This window comes from Homo sapiens, chromosome 3, assembly GCF_000001405.40.
Source record: "Homo sapiens chromosome 3, GRCh38.p14 Primary Assembly".
NCBI classification, from domain to species: Eukaryota; Metazoa; Chordata; class Mammalia; order Primates; family Hominidae; genus Homo; species Homo sapiens.
Window position 1 is genome coordinate 27,102,285 of NC_000003.12, and position 21,828 is coordinate 27,124,112.

The window sequence follows — 21,828 nt, forward strand, 5'->3', positions numbered from 1 at the left end:
GCCTGGGCGACAGAGCAAGACCCGGTCTCAAAAAAAAGAAAAAACAAAAACAAAGACAAACAGATGCAGGCTGTTGAAAAAGGAGCTGTACCAGGAGGCCAGTACACCAAGTACTGGGTAAGTCTGCTCTAGGCTGACATTGCACTTGAATTCCTTGCCACTATTATAGTGTTTAATTCTTGTGTCAAGCCTATGCTTAACAACTTTTTAAAGTGGAATCTACTATTTTCTTCATGATATAGATGTGAAAGCTAAGCATTAGAAAAGTTAAGTCCTTGGTCAGAAGTTATACAAGTAGAATATCATGGAGCTGGCATTCAGATCCAAGTCTATGTGTGCTCAGGGCCTAAATTCTTAATGATGCTTGCTTATTATATTATGTGCAAATAAATTTAGGAAATTCTAGCCTTTAAGTGATTTGTTTCTTGATCCTTGAACAATGTACAATATAAGTACCTATATACTTATGAAAATTACAAGTATTTTCCTGAGTTATATAAACAACTTTTTGGCACATCCCAAAGATGGTTAAAATGTCTGTGACAAACAGCATGGCTCAAGAGATTAAAAAAACAAGTGTATGTACAAAATAAATTTATGATATTTTAGTCTTTCTAGTGTGATGGCAAATTAAACCTGCATTATAGAAGCAGCATCATATAAAAAGTAAAATGAATATAAAATTATATGCTCAATCTTGAGAAGAGAGACAGAATCTTTAAATTTGGGAGACTTGGGAGACATTTTCCTTTATTCATGGCTTATAAGGGTTTTCTTTTAAGATTGTAGTTTGTATTTATATCAAACTATACTCTATAATTCATTTATTTAATTCCTGTTCTCTACTATATGAACATAATTACTGAGAACAATCAATATGTCCCCATTTGATAAATGACTAAAATAAGAATAGCAGATTGCAACACAACGAGTTTTAAGGAGGTGAAGGATGTTTACTATGATGCTACTGAAAGCTCCTCTGGCTTCTAGAGAAAGAATAATTTCCATTCCTGCTTCTCATTCCACTGACTGAGGTTTGTCTGTTTGCTTGGTGGATTAGAAATGATTTTCAAATAGCCTGCTGGATACATCTAACAGAATCCTGGGATGGGGACTGGAAACATTCTGGAATTTATGTCCTGCACTCTGAGGTCATTTTCATAAGACTACCACACAATTCTTTCTTCTCCAGACCATCGAGCAGTCTTCCATCAGAGCTGTTTGGGAGGGAGGAAGGAATCGGATGCAGTCTCTGGGCAGAAGAGCCATGATCCCACATGAGGGGGACGAATGTGTGCGAGCGCCAAGGTTCTGGGGGCCACACACCTAGGCAGCCAGGGTACAGGTGGCCATATGCACCTGAGCTCAGGGGCAAAGGAAGGCAGCGGGGAGGCATCTGCTCAGGACCCTGTGTGACACCATCCAGAGACCTCCCATCGAATATAGGGCTCTAGGCGTTTCTCCAGCCTTTTTATCATGTGGTAATTTGATATTGTGGCATTTGGTACTTCATGGCCCCAATTTTTCAGGTCTACTTTTTTTGCATTCTTTGGTATTGCACTCTGCGGCAGACACAATCCAAGGTGACCCCAATGACCTTGCTCTTGTATAATCCCCTTCCTTTGAGTGTAGAGTACACCTGTAACTCGCTTTTACCCACTAGAATATGGCAACAGGATATCATTCCTGTGATTTGGTTATAAGATTCTATCTTAGCAGACTAGAGAGAGAGAAAGAGACTCTCCTGTGGACCTTGAAGCAGCCAGCTGCCTTGATGGGAACTGTCTCCGGAGAGGGCCACATGGCAGGGGACTACAGGTGGCATCTATGGTATCTAGCTGCTCAGGACCTCAGTCCTACAAACACAAGGAAATAAACCCTGTCAATAATCACATGATCTTGGAAAATGATCCCCAAGCTCAGGTGAGACCCCAGACCTAGCCGACACTGATTATAGTTGTGAGACACTGAGCAGAGGACCATGTAAGCCCTGCTCAAACTTCCAACACACAGAAATTGTGAGCTAATAAATGTGTGTTATTTTAAACTGTTAAACTTATAGCAACTGGTTGCACAGCAGTGAAAGCCTCATACAGCTCCCCACACTAATGATAGATTTGACCGTGTGACCTGCTTTGACCATTGAGAATGAAGAAAACAACACAAGAAGTGGCTTGTCAAAATAGGAGTGCATTTCTGCATTCTCTTTTCAACTCTTGCTACTGCCACAAAAACACATCTGGGCTAAGTTGCTGAAAACACGTGTGAGACCAGGGAAGAGAACTGATTTGTCCCCTCTAGGTCAATCCTAAATCAGCTAGACTTCAGCCAACCTGCCAACTAACCATAGACACAGGAGAAAGTCTAGCAGAGATCAGTGGAGCTCTGCTCAGATAGGCAGAACTTCCAACTGACCCATGAACTCATAAGAAAAAAATAAATGGTTGCTACCTTAAACCACTAAGTTTTTAGGTGCTTTGTTATACAACATGTGTAGCAATAGATAATTGCTACAGGGACCCACCAATGAAAGCTGAGGTATGCATTTGAGCTTTCACACATATATGATTGCTTTCTGGAAATTTTTTTTTAATCAAAAGACTTAAGAGCATAAAACAAGAAATTGGGGAAGCTGGTGAGAGAAAAGAGATGATCATTTACTGTAAATTCTCAATAAAAGAGAAATCATTTTCCAATAAAATTGAAAATAACTTTTTAAATTATTTTAGCATTTTACAGGGCATATTTAATCATAGCAAAAATAAAAGCTGCTTGCATATCTTATATAAATCTTTTATAGAATCATTTCTTTCTTCTTCTCTTGAGGATCTCTGACTTTGAGGTCATTCTAGAGTAGGTGTGCTCATGAAGGAAGTGTTGCGGAGGTTTTAGAAAGATAGAAATCACGTACAGAGAAGTACTTCCCTCTGCCTTCCACAAGGCACACCATTAAATAACTATGGAACATTCATTCCCTCTAATAACACAGCTCTGTGCAGGAAACCTTGTTTGTTCCTTGGGTAGGAATAGTGGGAGGGGAAGAGGTGTCAGGGGAGAGACCCGCATGGGAGGGGTGCTAGAACAACAACAAAAAGATACTATGTTAGAGGCTAATAGGGAAAAAAAAGCACATTGCAGGTATTTTTGCTTCTGTGGGCACAGGCCTTTGTCTTGGATCCTGGGCTGTCCAAAAAATAAAAGCTCTGGGCAACATGAGATTAGGGGTTTCTCTTCCTTTCAGAGGACAGCTCTGTTCTTTTTTATCCTCACAAAGTCACCAGTGTGAACGATGGAATACAGGAAGCACTATAGTTTTTGTTTTGACCCACTAAATGTCAGTAAGCAAAATGCACCCAAAAATTTTTCAAGTAATTTTTGTTTTTCAGTGTGGAAGAGTGAAATAATAGAATCTTTCTACAGCCTGATTATCAACTGGTTTGCTTGCAAACAGCTAAAATTGCTTGCAATGTTTCTTTTCTAATTTAACTGGTACAAGTATATTCAAATCTGCCTGCACTTATCCATTTACATCTCACATATACTTCTTGTAAAATGTGCATTGTCAGACAAAATGGGCCTGAGCCCATGGATGAAAGATGGGGAACATAACCCCTGGGGCAGAATCACACTCACTTAATGGCAGATAAAACTGCTTCTTTGAGGAGTCTAATGTCTTTGGAATGCCTCCTAGGGATCCTGTCCTACGGATTCCACCAGCCAGCAGGTTATGAAGAGACTTTGGGGCCTTTTGCTACCGCTCTGGGTGGTCAACTTGTTGGTGACGGTGCCTGGCTAAAAGTTCAACAATAGCTGCATGCTGGGGAAGCATCTGGTCAGCTGTTTCTGGGAAACCCAGCAGCAGGAATCACGGAAGGCTCCCGAGCTACCCTTTGCCATTGCTCACCCCCTAGTGGGCAGCCTGCTGGGCGACCCAGGCACTAGGGAATTTCTTGCCTTCTTGCTCTCCAACTTCTCAAAACATAATTTCTATTTGAAGATGTTCCACCTCCATGAAAGATCTATCCTTAATCTTTAGCAAGTCAAGGTTTCCCTTCTGAGTACTTATACTTATTAACCTCCCTCAAAGTAAGGTTAGGTTCATGTAAATACTTCATGTGTTTTGTCATGACATGAAGTATCCCTAAACCAGCTCCATTTCCTCCAAAATTCACTGCAGTATGAGGCAAACACACAGAATATGGAGGGCAACAGTTTTAGCTAAAATTTAATAGCCATTTACAAGCTTTATATTCTATTTCAGAATCTTGACTCAAATGGCACTTGAAATGCAGAGCTAAATCATGGGTTAAGAATATCATTTTGTAAGTGACCTTCACAGTCTGCCTTAAAGGTGCCAAGGCCTTAAAGCAGTTGTTCCTCTTGGTTTGTTATTTCTGGCACAAACTTCTCTCTGCATGTTTTATGGGACCAGTTTTTCACATGTTTGCAAAAACTTCGGCTAATTTTTCATTTGTGAACTCACCATATCAATTCCAAGTATCCATCTGGATTTGTTGATTGTCAAAATGACAGTCAGCCATAATCCTCCATACATAAAGACAAAATTCTATCTTTGTTTAGGAGAAAGAAAGGTAAGCTATTTCCAAATGACAGCATTTAAACAGTCACGTACTTCTGTTATCGCTAAATACAGTAGCTGGGGCCAGTGCACATCTTCACAGTACAAAAGGAAAGGAGAGAAAAAGGCAGTTTCTCATGTTTTGAGGAATAACATTCAGTTTTGAATTAAGACTACAGTTCATTTACTTTTAGGATAAAGCAATGAACTGTATCTTAAATTTTTTATATTATTAGACAATTGTTACATACATGCAATAAAGCATCTAGTATACCTCACATAGCAAGTATGCAGCTGTGATTTTAGGGTACGTGATCTTCATTTTTAAAAACAACTATTGCCCATGAACTCAGAAAATATGTAAATTGGCAATATCCATCAGACACCCCATGAAACTCATAAAATCTTTCCTGTCCCTCTTGCAAATCTCAAAACAACATCACAGCAGGACTATAATCAACCACAACAGTCATATTTACAATATGCAATTTACTGTAATGACACACATAAGAATTCCTTTATCACAAAGCTGTTTCCCTGAGAAATTTGTGTCTTCCTATCAATATGAAAAACAGCGTTCAAGTGTAAGCATATTGTTAGCAACACATTTCAACTGAAAAAATAATCTACCCAAAGCTGTCAGTTCCTACAAAAGGATAATTAATTTAATCTCAAAGATATCATGTAAGTATATATGAAATTCATTTATTACATTTAGTTGTTGAACATGAAGAATTTTATATTTGGACAAAATTTCACCCAAGGAGTCAATGTCAATATTCGGAAGCATTAAGCTTCCCTTACGTTGGAGCCCTTCATAGCTGTAACTCCAGGGTGCCAAGAAGCTGTTTCAGATAGATTTCTTTGCATTGCCTCTCCAAGTGATTTCAGTGCTCATGAAAACCATCATAGAAAAAGTAAAAGGCAATGATGAAAGTTCCTTAAAAAGAAGTTTTTCCTGCCTTCAGACAGGAGCTAAAGTCATTTCTAAAGGAACCCAGCATATTGACTGTGCATGATTCCTCACCACTTCAAAAAAAGAGAAAAATAGCAATACATACATGCTATAATACATCAAATCAAAAAGAGGAATGTGGGTTCTATGCATATTAATACTGATAAAATTCACTAGCCAATATTACAGTCTTCACACATCTTAAAAATGAGTGGTGATTAATTAATGATATTTCTGGAATTGTACATAATCAGACCTGTATTTGTTTTTGGACATCAAAATTCATAGTATTTAATGAGTCATAGATGATACTTATAGGAAGACCTAACTCTTAATCAATTATATCATTTGAGTAAATTTCCTAACAGTGTTTCTTAATTGTGTTCTGCTTTAGAATGCCTAAACATTCTGTAAACACTGCCTAATGCCATACAAGTGTCCACAATAAACAAGCAGCATTTCTCTAGGTTTCTGAAATTCATCCACAAGCAGTGGGTCCAAGTGTCCACGTCACTATTCCCTTGAAGACTCCATTTGAAGACTACATGCCTGGAGGAAGATAAAGTTAACAAGCAAGCAAATATTCCTGCTGCAGTCACTTCCCTGAGAATGAAACATTTTGCTTTTAAAAAGCAAATTAAGGTTTCAAGTACACATAATTCAGAAAGAGCTGGTGGGTCGAAACATAATTAACGGGAGCATTTGTGTTTCAAAAGTAATCTGAAAAGACTGATTCATATTCTATTCCATGCAAATATTCAGTTACGGAAATTAGGTGCATTCATAGGAATTTCATTGCACAACAAATCATTAAAAATTATACAAGAGAAAGGGAAAAAATATATAAATGCAATCAAGAAAAGATTAAGAGGTCTATGAAGTTCATGTAACAACTCCTTTGCACTAATAGACAGTTTGGAGAATCAAAACAAAATGATCATTCTTGGTCATGAGGGGAGGTGCTCCATATTTGTGTTAGAAAGGCTTCTGAAAAGTTAACTTCTCTGTTGGGATGTGACTCTATGTACAAAATGGTGCTTTTGCCAGAGCCTGACTTTCTCTTAGAGACATGGGAAAATATAGACTCAGTGATTGTGGTAGTTTAGGGAGAATTCAAATAGAGCATATTCATACTTTTAGCAAAACAATACATCTATCCACATAGAGTTGATAGGCCTGAAGCTGTTGTTAAAAAGGACAGCTTCTGCTTACTTAACTTTCACTGACTTCTAGCATAATAAATGCCCATTCCTATCACCTAAAAGAGTTACATGCAATGGCTGGGCACAGTGGCTCACGCCTCTAATCCCAGCACTTTGGGAGGCCGAGGCAGGCAGATCACCTGAGGTCAGGAGTTTGAGACCAGCCTGGCCAACATGGTGTAACCCCATCTCTACTAAAAACACAAAAATTAGCTGGGCATGGCAGCACATGCCTGTAATCCCAGTTACTCGGGAGGCTGAGGCAGGAGAATTGCTTGAACCTGGGTGGCGGAGGTTGCAGTAAGTTAAGATCTCGCCATTGCACTCAAGCCTGGGCAACAGAGTGAGACTCTGTCTTAAAAAAAAAAAAAAAAAAAAAGAGTTAGATGGAAACATTTTGCTCACTTTCTGGTCAATAAGGCCAACTATATACACTTTAAAACATCTTCAAGTAAACCATTTATCTTCCCTTACCACGGTACACCTTTTGAATACTATTCTTTCCTAAATTCTGTTTACTATATACTACCATTTGGGAAATAACTTGATTTCAAACTCTCACCCCACAATTAGAATTTGTGCCCCTCCAGGTCTGTGCTTCCTGCATGAAGAAGAAATGTGCCCCTTTCATACACTGAAAGATAAAAAGAATTATAAGTGCAGGTTCAAATTAACTTGGAACAGAAATAAAATTTTGCCTGGGTAAATCAATATCATAGCATTTTGATTTTATGAATTTCACATATGGATAGAATTAGTTTGAAAGCTGAAACTGAAATTTTCATTACTGTATTTGCATCTATTATCTTACATTACAGTGTATCTGTAATTGTTAATTTGGCTTAAAGAAAGATCCATTGACAATCTTCAAAAGCATTAGTGCATGATTAAAGGGAATTTGGATATAATTTAAGTATTAAATATGCTCATTTAAAAATAGTGTAGATTTTCATACTATACAGAAAGAAGGTTATGGTCTTTCAACCACTGTAAATACATTGAACTAAAATCGATTCAATCATACTAAAAAAATTCAGTGTAAATAAAGATGACAGAACTCCATGAAAAGTAAATAAAAAGTATAATTTCAACTTTCAGATTACTAATTATGTAGAATAAATTGCTCTTTAGGTAGCTAGAAGTGTAGACAGATTTCGCAATAAGGGTATTTCTTGACATTACACCAGAGTTTTAAGAAGCTGATTGAAGAGAAGGAGTTTAAGCCCAGTGAGAATCTAGCAGATTTTCATCATAATTCTCCCGGCATAAAGGATGATACACAGTTTGGCATTCTGATTTCACTTCCACTGAGCTGCCTCAATGAGTAAAAAAGGGATTTAACTTATTTTCATTTCAAAATCCTAAACAATTCATAAACAATTTAGGTAATTGTAATAAGGAGGGATTTAGGATGAGGAATATTGCATCTTTTTCATAGATTCTATAAACTCTTCAAAGTGCTCTAAAAATACTATAAGTTTGATTAGCAGCAAAGCATTAGTCTAATCAAAACCTCTCTCCTTCCGCCCTCATATATAAACATATACACACACTGTACAGCAATATATTCTATTAGTCTAAGTTAAATCTGACAGTTTGACAGTTACCCCCAGAGGCTGTGCAAGGTTACAAATACTGTCTACACTGTATCACAGTTCAAGACCACTAGCACCCAAGTGGTTAAGCGAGAACCAACCCATCCATTAAAAAAAAAAAAATTTAATCACGTATTTTGAATTTCTTTAAATGTAAAAATGGAGGATACAGTGAATCACCCAATATATTATTCTGAGTCCTGTAACTGTCTTTATCTAAAATATTTTTTACATATGGAAGGCTAGATGTCTTTAAATATACTTTTAGCAATTCTGAGTATCAAATGTGCCTTTGAAAAATATGACAAGTTTTTTTTAATGTTAAGGAAAATTCTGTAAGAGAGTTTTTTTGTTGTTGTTTTTGGGTTTTCCCCCCACCCTCCAAAAGATGAATTTTGCAGCATTTTCTCCCAGCAGCACACTGGTAGCTCTGACATCCTGTATATAATGTGTTCTGGCAATGAAGCCCTCAAGTACCGCAGCTGTCATATACTCCAGCACAGGACCCCCAGAAAGAAGTCCTGCAGGCCCCATGGCATCTTGGTCTTTTCCACACCCTCTAGCAGCACCCAATCCTTGGGCATCTTGCAATAGCGGCTGAAGTCCAGAACTTGAACTTCACTGAGAAAATCAAGTCCACTCAAAATGCAGCATTTTCATCTTTTGGTTGGGTGATTCTTGGTCCCCCATGGATAGGAATGATACCTATAAGATTCAGAAGTGGAAAGAATTCTCTATAGTTACAAATATTTTAGTTCATACATTCAATTTCAAAAACTGGGGCTCAGGCATATAAGTAAATAAATCACAGTAAATAAAAAGACGATTATTTTTGTTAGGATGGGGACATTTTTAAAAAGCTGCCTTTGGCTGAAGTCTGGTGCTAACAAGGCCTTTCTCAAATTATGAACTCAATAGGAACTGATAACACTTTGTAGTAGAAAAACAAATATTCATTCAAAATAGCTTGTATACTTGAATACCTGTGTAGGTTAAAATAACTAATTTACACGCTTATCAGTCAATTGGGGAAATAAAACAATTCAAGTTGATTCAATGTAGATTTGTTATCTTGTATACTGTTATTTCTCAACACATTTTATTATTAAAAATAAAATATTAATGTAATACATAAGTATATTCATAAAGATTATATGCTCATTATCTGTTTATTCATGACTCAAATGATTTTATCCTCACAAACAACAATGATAAAATTAAGGCATATTAAGTTGCATCCTTCTGGTAAGCAAGCTAAATGCTTATGTATATAAAACGTAATTTATCATACAACCATGCAAATGATCAAAAATAGAGCCTGCTTTGGGAAGAGCTATGAGGCTGGCCAAGCCTTTTTGACCTTCTTTAACTTTCTTTACACAGCTTTCTTCCTTCCAACTCAGTCCTAGCTCCCTTTTTCCCAGAAGCCCAGAAATGAGAAATACCCAACCTTGGTCAGAGGTCCTTGCTGCTCTTTCTGTTCCTGTTACCATTTTCTTTTCCTAATGCAGCATTTTATGCCTGAGACATTCTTCCTAACTGTCCAAGCAGTCTCCTCATGATTTAAACAGTTCCAGAAATCTTCCTCAAAGATAGCTAACAGATAGATAATGGCTTTATCCTGAGACTTTCAGTCTGAAAATGGCACCTCTCTATTCTCTTCCTTAACTAAATATAAACCCTATAATTTAAACCAAAAATGTACCTTATCTTGAATTAATCCTTTAGTGACTGGCTGGCTAGATGATGTGTGTACTATTCAAACTGATAGTCTTAAATTGTAAACTTGAATAACACCGAAATTATATATGTAACTTTCTCAGCACGGTGCTTAATTCATTTAAGAACAAATTTTGCAATGACGATGATGACAATGATGACCATGTCAATGAGAACAACAGAGATCTGGGTAGACCCTGGTGAAGGAGTGAAAACGGTGTTCCTCATTTCCAACCACATAGCTAAAACAGCTTTCCTCAATTGTATTCCATGTAAAGAGTGAGGAAAACACTGAGGTCAACAAACAAGGTCAACAGATTTCTTTCTTATAGTACATCTCAGAGTCTTTAATATAGTAATAGGTGTCAACATTCTCCAAATATAAAAAATTGTACATTCTGAGTTTCCCAAATATATGTGGCCATGAAACTTTATTTTTCAGAGACTATCTATTGACATCTTTGATAATATTGCCCATTCTATGAAACCTATTGGGGAAAAATGCAGTCTACTAATTCTAAATACTGATTCTAAATACCTCTACATATGCTGTGACATTTAGCACCCTCCATCCTTTGTGGAAAAAAGCATGACAGTACCAGCTAATCTGATTTGTACTTGGAGTTATGTGTTATTCACAGTTTGTGGATTAGTAGGTGCTTCTAATTGAAGCCTGACTTATTTCTTGGAAATTATTTTGGAATACTAGTAAACAAAGAGTGGCTTTAGGCACAAACAAGGGTTATTTTTACAAACAAATTCTGGAGAGTTTTTCTCCCAAGATATGTTCTATCATTGCTATTAGAAGCCAAAAGGGGGTCGGGTGTGGTGGATCATGCCTGTAATCCCAGCACTTTGGGAGGCCAAGGCAGGTGGATCACCTGAGGCCAGGTCAAGATCAGCCTGGCCAACATGAAGAAACCCCGTTTCTACTAAAAATACAAAAATTAGCCAGGTGTGGTGGTGGGCGCCTATAATCCCAGCAACTCGGGAGGCTGAGGCAGGAGAATCGCTTGAACCCAGGAGGTGGAGTTTGTAGTGAGCCAAGATCGCACCATTGCACTTCAGCCTGGCCTGAGCAACATAACGAGATTCCATCTCAAAAAAAAAAAAAAAAAAAAAAAGAAGCCAAAAAGGGAATACCATGGATATATGGATTTTTAAATGTGATTCATTTTAATTTGGAGCACTTTAAGAAAATTTAATGCAATACCCAACTTATATTGCTTAAACTTGACTGTTTCATCATACCTTCATAATAGATTCACAATTACAAATATAACTGAATAATTTTTTGCCTTTGTTATAAGGCATCTTATTATCTGTTTATCATAATAAGAAAATTTGCAATGTCTTTTAATAAAGCCATATGTCTTTGGAACTAGATCGGTTTAAAACCTAATGAAAGTAGAATTGAAAAAGAATAATGATAAATTCCAAAATAAGACAAATATTTTTTAATAAAGGGAAAATAAAAGTTCTTGTAAGAGCTTCCTTAAGTTCCTTGCACACTTAGTTTTTCTTGATATTTAAATGATTTTCTGCAAAAAATATGAAGACATTCCTTGCCCATGATCCCAAGTCTCTGAGAAAATGCAGATAAAATGACAAGAGTCATCTTTTCCCCAGTACAAGCCAAGGGCACTTGAAATAATGAGGCTCACAGTTAAAAACAGAAACATTCATACTATCCATGATAGTATGCTTATGTATGTAAAATGTAATTTATCATACAACCATGCAAATGATCAAAAATAGAGCCTGCTTTGGGAAGAGCTACGAGGCTGGCCAAGCCTTTATGACCTTCTTTAACTTTCTTTACACAGCTTTCTTCCTTCCAACTCAGTCCTAGCTCCCTTTTTCCCGGAAGCCCAGAAATGAGAAATATCCAAACTTGGTCAGAGGTCCTTGCTGCTCTTTCTGTTCCTGTTACCATTTTCTTTTCCTAATGCATATACTCAGCCCTTGAATAGAAAATGAAAATTCAAAAATCTCTCCAGGGATGGTGGGAGGAGAGTAGTTGTGGAGATGGTAATTTCTATTGACGGTATATCTTTAGAAAATGAGAATTACTCATTGTTCCTCTGCAGTTACAAATCACAACAGATCTAAATTTATAAAGGTAGTATTTTGAAACTGTTATCAAGTCAAAAGAGCAAGTAGTTGAATAATTTTACTTGTGACTCATAAGAAAAACTCCTTGAAATGGGAGAAGTAGAAGAAAAAGGAGAAGAAACACTGGAGACTGAACTAACCTTAGAAAAGAATCTAATTTCTATATAATGACCTTAACAGGATGTTCTTGAGCCCTCTTTCTCTTCCCGTTGTTACTAGTCATCTTTGGTGAAGACTTCTGGAATAATTTAAATAGTGGTCACAAAATAGCTTCAATAATTGAAAAGGAAGGCAGTCCCTCCAGGCATAAAAGACCACTTTGAGAGAATATACTCCAAAGGACTATGCCTCCTAAAACAACTGTGGCCCAGATAGAGTGTGTGTGTGGATACTTGCAACCAATTTGATGACTCAGCTATGAGTAGGCTCCTTAGGTAAGTCAACAGACAACTCTTGTGTAGCAGACATTGTAAACACCCATACCCCTATCTATTCCACTTCAAAGCACGCTGGCAGATTTCTACCTGCTAATATATAAAGAAATTCAATAATGGAATACCTGCACTTCTTTTCCTGAGGATTTCTCTGACCCCTGGAGTCTTCTTTGTTCATATTTACAAAAGGCCAGAAAAAAACAGGGCATTAACACTTCCTAGGGAAAGGCCTTAAACAATGACTGATGGAGATTGGAGGATAAATACCTCAGCTCTCTCACTCTTTGTGTGGGATGGCCCTGGTACATATTCTATATCAGCTCTTAGATTTCCCCAGTGGGATCAGGCTTCAATCACCTACAATGCTAATTTGCTTGATTATAAAACCTTTCTTGAATAACTTCATAGTAAACTAATTGTACTCAAATTGTTGTGCCAACACTATTTCCAAAACTAAAATTATAAAAATTGATGCAATTGATAAAATAGCATATACTCTTAGAACACCAACGATAGCTATATTGGAAGATAACATACAGCTCCAGTAAATGGAGGTTTTTTATTTAGGGTAAACAAATGGCAACATACAATAGCAAAGTCTCTTCTCCACAAATATATCTTAAATTCACAAGAAATGATTCTTTGTTCAGTTGCACTTTGTCCCTAGCCTTCTGTGCAAATAGTGGGTAGATTTAAGTGATAGGAGTGAGTTTTCAGCTCTTCTAGAATGAGACAAACAAATATTTGATGTTTAAAAAACCAATCTAGAAATGCTTTTTCCATTTACTTATATTTATGATTTTTTATGGGAATAAATTTCTACTAAGCAATCACCCTTTTTGTTTCAACTGAGAATACAGCAACTGTGTCCACACAAAAGATGGGCACATATATTCTACTTATAGATGTATCTAGTCTAAGCCAAGATATTTTATAAAAGTATTTAAAATAAAATCTGAAAAAAAATCCCTCTGGAATAAAGGATAAAGAAATTAGATCTAACATCTGATGACCTCAATTCATCTTTCACAATTGAAGGCAAACTCTAGCTCTTACCTGTTAGATGTAAAATTGTAATAGCCACTTTCCTCAAGGACTTCTTCAATCACAGTCTAAAATTTTAAAAATCAGGTTAGTATTGAATTAGAAGTAACAAAATAAAATCATTCAGAGACACTGCAAAAACCTCACCTGCATCTGTTCATATGTTATTCCTTCCTCCAATTCAATGCTGGTTGGTAAACCTAAAAAAGATAAATTATGGAAAGTCTGACATTTGGGTTCACATTTTCTTAGTTATTCTTTACTGGCAATTATGACTTCAACCACAGGGCAAACAGGTCAATTTCTTAATGATAAAGATGGAACAAGCAAATTCCAAAGCATCTGCCTTGGCTTTGAATATTCAAGTGTTTTGTTTTCCTTTCTTTAATAACTGACTTCCTTGGGCATGGGCATCACAAAATGATATATGAAGATTAAGGGGCATTGCTCATAGTGTCCAATAAAGTTAGAGGTGTGTGTGTGTATGTGTTAAGGGCAAGTGAGGGGTGATTCCCAATGCAAATTACCTGATGGGTGTTTTCTGATTAAGAAACTCTCCCTAATCTACAGGCTAAGAAGAATAAATATACGTTAGAAAGAAAATTGATTCTTACAGGGAGGCAGATACAGATGTAAAGAGACCAAAGATCTGACCCTTTCATATAGCTGCCTAGAGGGAAAAAATATATTTATTGCCAGAAGACTTTTAAAATGTTTATTATTACTATTATTATTATTATCATCATCATCTTGTAGAGATAGGGTCTCACTATGTTGCCCAGGTTGGTCTTGAATTCCTGAGCTCAAGTCATCCTCTTGCCTACAGCCTTCCAACGTCTGTACATTATAAGCATGTGCCACCATGGCTGGCCAGATTTTTTTTTTTAATTTAATTTAATTTTAAGTTCCAGGATACATGAGCAGGATGTGCAGGTTTGTAATATAGGTAAATGTGTGCCATGATGGTTTGCTGCACCTGTCAACTCAGTAGCTAGGTATTAAGCCCAGCATGCATTAGCTATTTATCCTGATGCTCTCCCTCCCCTCACCCACTCCACCACCCCAACAGGCCCCAGTGTGTGTTGTTCCCCTCTCTGTGTCCATGTGTTCTCATTGTTCAGCTCCCACTTATAAATGAGGACATTTGTTGTTTGGTTTTCTGTTCCCGTGTTAGTTTGCTGAGGATAATGGCTTCCAGCTCCATCCATGTCCCTGCAAAGGACATGATCTCATTCCTCTTTATAGCTGCATGGTATTCCATGGTGCATGTGTACCACATTTTCTTTATCCAGTCTATCATTGATGGGCATTTGGGTTGATTCCATGTCTTCACTATTGTGAATAGTATAGCAATGAACATATGTGTGCATGTATCTTTATAAGGGAATGATTTATTTTTCTTTGGGTATATACCCAGTAATGGGATTGCTGGTTCAAATGGTATTTCTGGTTCTAGGTCTTTGAGGAATAGCCACACTGTCTTCCACAATGGTTGAACTAATTTACATTCCCAGCAACAGTGTAAAAGCATTCCTATTTCTCCACAGCCTTGCCAACATCTGTTGTTTCTTGACATTTAAATAATTGCCATTCTGACTGGCACAAGATGGTTTCTCATTGTGGTTTTGATTTGCGTTTCTCTAATGATCAATGATGTTGAGCTTTTTATCATATGTTTGTTGGCCGCATAAATGTCTTCATTTGAGTAGCATCTGTTCATGTCCTTTGCCTACTTTTTAATGGGGTTGCTTTTTTCTTGTAAATTTGTTTAAGTTCCTTGCAGATTCTGGATATTACACCTTTGTCGGATAGATAGATTGCAAAAATTTTCTCTTTCTGTAGGTTGTCTGTAAACTCTGATGATAGTTTCTTTTGCTGTGCAGAAGCTCTTTAATTAGATCCCATTTGTGAATTTTTGCTTTTGTTATAATTGCTTTTGGCATTTTCGTCATGAAATCTTTGCCCAGGCCTATGTCCTGAATGGTATTGTCTAGATTTTCTTCTAGGGTTTTTATAATTTTGGGTTTTACATTTAAGTCTTTAATCCATCTTGAATTAATTTTTGTATAAGGTGTAAGGAAGGGGCCCAGTTTCAATTTTCTGCATGTGGCTAGTCAGTTCTCCCAGCACCATTTATTAAATAAGGAATCCTTTCCCCATTGCTTGTTTTTGTCAGGTTTGTCAAAGATCAGATGGTTCCAGATGTATGGTCCTATTTCTGAGTTCTCTATTCTGTTCCATTGGTCTATGTGTCTGTTTTTGTACCAGTCCATGCTGTTTTGGTTACTAAAGCCTTGTAGTATAGTTTGAAGTCAGGTAATGTGATGCCTCCAGCTTTGTCCTTTTTGCTTGGGATTGTCTTGCTGGACAGACTTTATGATGGTTGATCAGAATTTGGTATACCAGCACCTTAACACACTCCGATGCCACCCAAAGCCGTGTTGACCAGCTTTCACTCAAACCAATCAACACTGACATGTAGAGGCCTAGGCCACTTCTCTGCCAATTCAAATAGAGAAGAGAGAATGGGTTTAGGGTCAAGAAGAGATGTGAAAATGTGAGTACTGGTGGCTCATCTTTAAAGGCATACCCCACAGTACTGGCAGGCTCTGCTGTTTTTGCTTTTGCCCAGCCAGCTGTGACATGGGCCAAGCCTAGTCAGCTCTGGAGTGGGGCATCCAGCTGCCCTGGGGGGAGTTTGTCAACTCACCCTCAGGTTTTTGAGAGATTTTTATCAAAGTTCTTCATTTCATCAGAGTTTCTATGATGCGGAGAAGTTTGACCTGCAGATAAACTTCCCTGTCTTGGAAATGATTTTAAAAGCAAATTACTTTAAACAACTTTTTATCTTGGATTTCTCAGAGATTATTTTAAATAAAATTCTGCATACATAGGGTTTAGCTTTATCCCAGAAGACCAAAGGAAAGTTTGTCAATTAATTCATGAAATAATTTGTTCAGTCAGCAACAAAAGCACAACAAAAGTGAGCATTTTTTCCAAGCTAAAGAGATGGCAAGTCTTCATTTAACTGTAAAATCTTCACTTCTATCCACTCCTCCAAGTGACATAGCTACCGTTTATAAAGATTCAAAAATTATTTAGGAGTACTGAAACCTCAGAGTAGCTTGAAAGCTTCCTCTTAGAATTCAGATATGACAAGAAGAGTTCAATTATGCTGAGCCCCTACTAATAGACAGGCAGTTTTTATTTTTACTCTAATCCTCACTATAACCTTGTGATGCAAGTATTTATCCCCATTTTACAGGCAAGGAAACTGGGGTTCAGAGAGGTTAAATAGTTGTCCATAGTCAGCTACTAAATGGTTTAGCCAAGATTTGAATCTAGGCACCCAGGTTTCCAGAATATGTGCCTTTAAATCCCTATGCTATACTGCCTCCCTATGTGAATTTTATGTAAAAGAGAAAAAAATTCAAGTGTCTAATGTGGATTCTTTAGGTGAGTTTCAAGGGTTTCTCTATTTTGAATATTTAAACTCCTTATTTCTGCTCTTTATCTCCCTACATGCTTTAGGGAATTTGATTTCCCATCATCAGATAAGCAAAAAGAAATAAAAGGAAATACAACTCACCCACACAGATTCTGCTGTTTGTTTATGATATTAATAAATGATCAAGGAAGCTGCCACAACTGGGTAAGATAAATTTCAGGGAATTTCTAGATTCCTACCATATGTGCCTTCCAACTATTGCTATAAATAATCAAAACAAGCTCTATTTAAAAAAAAATTGGAGATAATCTTTTAGAAATAGCTGTTGATCCAAACAATATATTTCTTCATGAAAGCCAGGTTACCCATGTTGATCACTATTACCTGTAGGGTCATTTGGGGACAGGCTGTTTCCACCGGATGAACGATGTAATAAATGGTAATCTGCTGTGAAAAAGTTGGGCTCAATCGGTTCTGGAGATCCCTGAGATAACTGAAATAGAAAAAGCAAAATCACATCTTAGTTTACACTCAGAAGGAAATGGCAGGAGACCTCTGTGTGGGGTTTTTCATTTCCCTATGTCTCTGCACAGAAAATTTAGTGTTCTGTGGTTTTCAATCCCTTGTAAATAGATAAAGAAATAATCTTCTTTCCAAAAGAATTTATAAATTGGATGCAGCAAAATTACAGTGAAAGCAAGTTGGACAATTCTCTGGTCATATGAAAAAATATACTTTATGGCCTTATGAGAGCAAAAGAAAAATGAATATAAAAATACTGGCATGAAGCTGGGATATCAAGATGTTATTTTTATCAGGCATGGGAGGAATAAACTCCAATTATTCAACAGAACAATATGCTTAGCCCAAATCACTATTTTTTTTTCATGTATCTGCTTTGAATAATTCCTTTTTGTTTGACCAAGGAAAGTAAGTTTCTTTTTCTTTTTTCTTTTTTTTTTTTCTGCAACAGTGTCTCACTCTGTCGCCCAGGCTGCAGTGCAGTGGCACAATCTCGGCTCACTGCAACTTCCACCTCCATGCTCAAGGGATTCTCCTGCCTCAGCCTCCCGAGTAGCTGGGATTATAGGCACCCACCACCATGCCCAGCTAATTTTTGTATTTTTTTTTTTTAGTAGAGATGGGGTTTCACCATGTTGGCCAGGCTGGTCTCGAACTCCTGACCTCAGCTGATCCACCCACCTTGGCCTTCCGAAGTGCTGGGATTACAGGCATAAGCCACCGCGCCTGGCCAAATAAGTTTCTTAATACATTTTTCGAAATTACTATTAATTAATTTTAATCTCCAAATATTAATTCCCAGCACTCTGATGGAAAGAGTAATTTGCCAAATGACGGTATTTATTAAAGTTTCAATCATTTAATGCCTTTCTATAAAGCTGAATTTTTAAAGTAGAATTTTAGACCGTAAACGTTTTTCAACCTCCTTTCACCTTTAATTCCAATTATCACTTGGGCTGGCCAAATTTTAGTGCCTAAATTACTTTTAAAATATAAATTCATAATAATAAGTCAGAAAAAATGGCATAATTTGTACTATGCTATAGTAGTTAGCTTGTATTCATATACTTTGTTTATGAGTTAAAATACATCATTGTTCAATCACTTGAGAAAACTATTTGCAATAGACACTACATTTTAATAATATATGCCTACCCTATGACCCAGCAATCTGACTCTTAAGGATTTATATGAGAGAAATAAGTGCATATGTCCCATCAAAAGACATGTATAAGAATATTCATGCCATCTTTTTTTCATAATAACTAAAATCTAGAAAAACCCCAATTGTCCGTGGAGAAAAGAATGGATAGATATATATCATGGTGTGTTCATACAATGGAATTCTGCAAAGCAATAAAAAAGAACAAACTATGGATACTCAGAGCAACACGGTTCAGTGTTGGAGAAAAGAAGCCAGAAACAAAATACATAGTGTATGACTTCATTCTTAGAAATTTTCATCATCGGTGATATGGTTTGGCTGTGTCCTCACCCAAATCTCATCTTGAATTGTAACTCCCACAATTCCCATGTGTCATGGGAGGACCTGGTGAGAGGTAATTGAATCATGGGTGTGGGTCTTTCCTGTCTGTTCTCGTGATAGTGAAAAAGTCTCGCAGGATCTGATAGCCTCAAAAACTGGAGTTTGCCTGCACAAGCTCTCTCTCTTTTTGCCTGCTGCCACCCGTGTAAGATGTGACTTGCTCCTTCTTGCTTTCTGCCATGATTGTGAGGCTTCCCCAGCCACGTGGAAATGTAAGTCCAATTAAACCTCTTTCTTTTGTAAATTTCCCAGTCTTGGGTACGTATTTATCAGCAGCATGAAAATAGACTAATACAATCAGACAAAACTAACCAAGGGTAACAGAAATCAGGTAATGATTACATTGTGGCAGGAGATGTAATGTGGCCGTACAAAGGGGTCTTCTGCAGAGCTAGAAATATTCTATATATTGATGTGGGTGGTGGTCGTATGGGTGAAAATGTGTTCATAAAACTTCATGAGGCTGTATATGTACCTCATTGTACTCACTATGAATTTATACCTTAAAATATTTTATATTAGCAATTAAAAATTAATTTTTTCCATCAATGGACTTTGGATATTGTAAATACAAATCATTTGTGGGTTTCCTAGTCTCCATGTTGACAAACACCTACTACCCTCTAAGGAAAAAAATATATGATTATATCCATTTTTATCAGTGATAACTGATAACTGAGGTAATTGGATCATGGGGGTGGTTTCCCCCATGCTGTTGTCATGATAGTGTGTGAGATCTCACGAGATCTGATGGTTTTATAAGTGTCTGGCATTTCCCCTGCTTGCACTCATTGTCTCTCCTGCCGCCCAGTGAAGAAGTGAAGAAGTGCCTTCCACCATGATTGTAAGTTTCCTGAGGCCTCCCCAGCCATGTGGAACTGTGAGTCAATTAAGCCTTTTTGCTTTATAAATTACCAAGTCTCGGGCATTTCTTCATGCAGCCTGAGAATGGACTAATATATAACCCATCTGTAATATGACAAGATTGTAAGATTATAAATACTGTAATACAGGAAGCCCTGACAGTCACACACTTAAAAACTTTCTCATCTGTGCTGCAGGGTTTCATGGAGGTAGCCCTGAGCATTCTGTATATCTCATATCCCAGCTTGTAGGTGGCTACAAATAAGCTTTTTAATGTCTTGTGATGCTGAAAATGATTTCCTGGTATTACCTTTCAAATGACTTCAGATGGAATTTTTCATATGGTTTAGCGTAGGAGTAACTGGCTGCCTGAAATCTCATCCTAATTATAAAAAGCTTACTTAATTTAATTATTAAGTTTATACCTTGGAATTCTAAAGATTTCAAAGACAGAAAGATATTTAAAGCCTCAAAAAAAATTACATGAATTGTGACTTGGAGAGGTCAAGATTGCTATTTTAAGATGACAAGGACAAGTCATCTTTCAGGGTTCATCTCAAACTCTGAAGAGAGGAGTTTTCATTTCCAGTGCTTATGTCACACTGGTAGTCTCACTGAGCTTAAGAACTGGAAATTCTTAGAGAGATCGGCACACGGATGAAGGCAAGGACTAAAATTCATTTTTTGACGAATCCCAGATACACTGACTTTCATTCTAGGAACTTCCCAGAACTACTTTTTGCAGTTCAGTTTCTAGATATACACATTGTTTTAGCAAACTATTTTTTGCCCCCAGTGTATGTTGGACAGCATGGTTTATGATCTGAGCAGGATGCAGAAATAATCTGGTTTCTGTGAGACTTGCAATCTGACTAGGACAACAGGATAATAATGAGCAAAAATAGGGTGATATCATAAATCATGAACCATGAAATGAAATAGTGATTTGTAAACTTACAAAAAGAAGGGTCCTTCATGAAGACTAGCTTGGTTTTTTTAGAGGTTCTGTAGAAGAAACACTGGAGCTGATCTTTGAAGGATAAATTTAGGTAAATCACAGCAATCAAAGTGGACATTCCAGGTAGGGGGAACTTGGAGGTAAAGGTTGGGCATTGCATATTAATGGAAAAATGATGAAAGGGATATGACATGATTCCATGTTATATGGGCATTCATGATGAAATGAGGAAAACAAGTTCCATTCATTAATTTAGTATTTTTAATCAATTATTTTGTGCCAAGCACAGATCCAAACAATGAAAAAACACATTAATGGATAAAAATTATACTCTTGGAGTTCGCTAACTACTTAGGGAGAAATATGTCTGTGAAATGTCCACCTAGATACATGTAAAATTGCAACTGTTCTAAATGCATTGAAAGACAGGTTTGTGACTTTAGGAGGTAGCAGATAGATTTGACTTAGTCAGCAAAGGCTTCCATGAAAAAGTGACATTTATGCCAAGAGCTGAAAGAATGAGTAAGAATGAGTAGATGGGGCGAGAAGAACATTACAGGCAGAGGAAAAAGCATGTACAAGACTACGAAGGAAGCAGCATGCTAGATAAACAAATTTTAGAAAAGGCCTGGTGGCTGACGTGGAGACAGCAAGGGGCAAGAGTGATACAAGATGAGGGTGAACAGAAGGGCAGGAGTTAGACCTGATTTTGGCATTTTATACTGAGTTCCTTGAAGGATTTTCTGTGTTGTGTGTGTGTGTGTACAAGTGTGACATGATCTGTTTTGAAAGGTTCATCCTGGATGTAATACACAAAACAGTTTAAGTGGGGTTGGGAACATCAGGG

General features: G+C 37.0%; 1 protein-coding gene across 25 annotated transcripts in view, besides 1 other annotated feature; it reads right to left on the reverse strand.

Moving 5' to 3' along the window:
• Window positions 3,382-3,961: an enhancer, noted in NCBI's record as "NANOG hESC enhancer chr3:27147157-27147736 (GRCh37/hg19 assembly coordinates)". NCBI's record gives its function as "activates a minimal SCP1, AML or CMV promoter by ChIP-STARR-seq in naive H9 embryonic stem cells {active_cell/tissue: H9 hESC(naive)}" and the evidence as "EXISTENCE:reporter gene assay evidence [ECO:0000049][PMID:30033119]".
• Window positions 4,200-21,828, reverse strand: part of NEK10 (NIMA related kinase 10) — a 262,900-nt gene continuing 245,271 nt past the window's right edge. For 22 of the 25 annotated variants that reach the window (NM_001394969.1, XM_047447506.1, NM_001394967.1 and 19 more), the window contains 4 exons: window positions 17,476-17,584; window positions 13,791-13,843; window positions 13,656-13,711; window positions 4,200-9,036 (listed from right to left, as the gene is read on the reverse strand). In NM_001394969.1, coding sequence (NP_001381898.1) covers window positions 8,988-9,036; window positions 13,656-13,711; window positions 13,791-13,843; window positions 17,476-17,584 — 267 coding nt within the window. In that variant the 3' untranslated portion in view covers window positions 4,200-8,987. Of the gene's footprint in view, window positions 9,037-11,941; window positions 12,015-13,655; window positions 13,712-13,790; window positions 13,844-17,475; window positions 17,585-21,828 lie in introns of those variants that run through there. The other 3 variants (XR_001740034.2, XM_006712999.4, XM_006712998.3) reach the window with 3 other exon arrangements.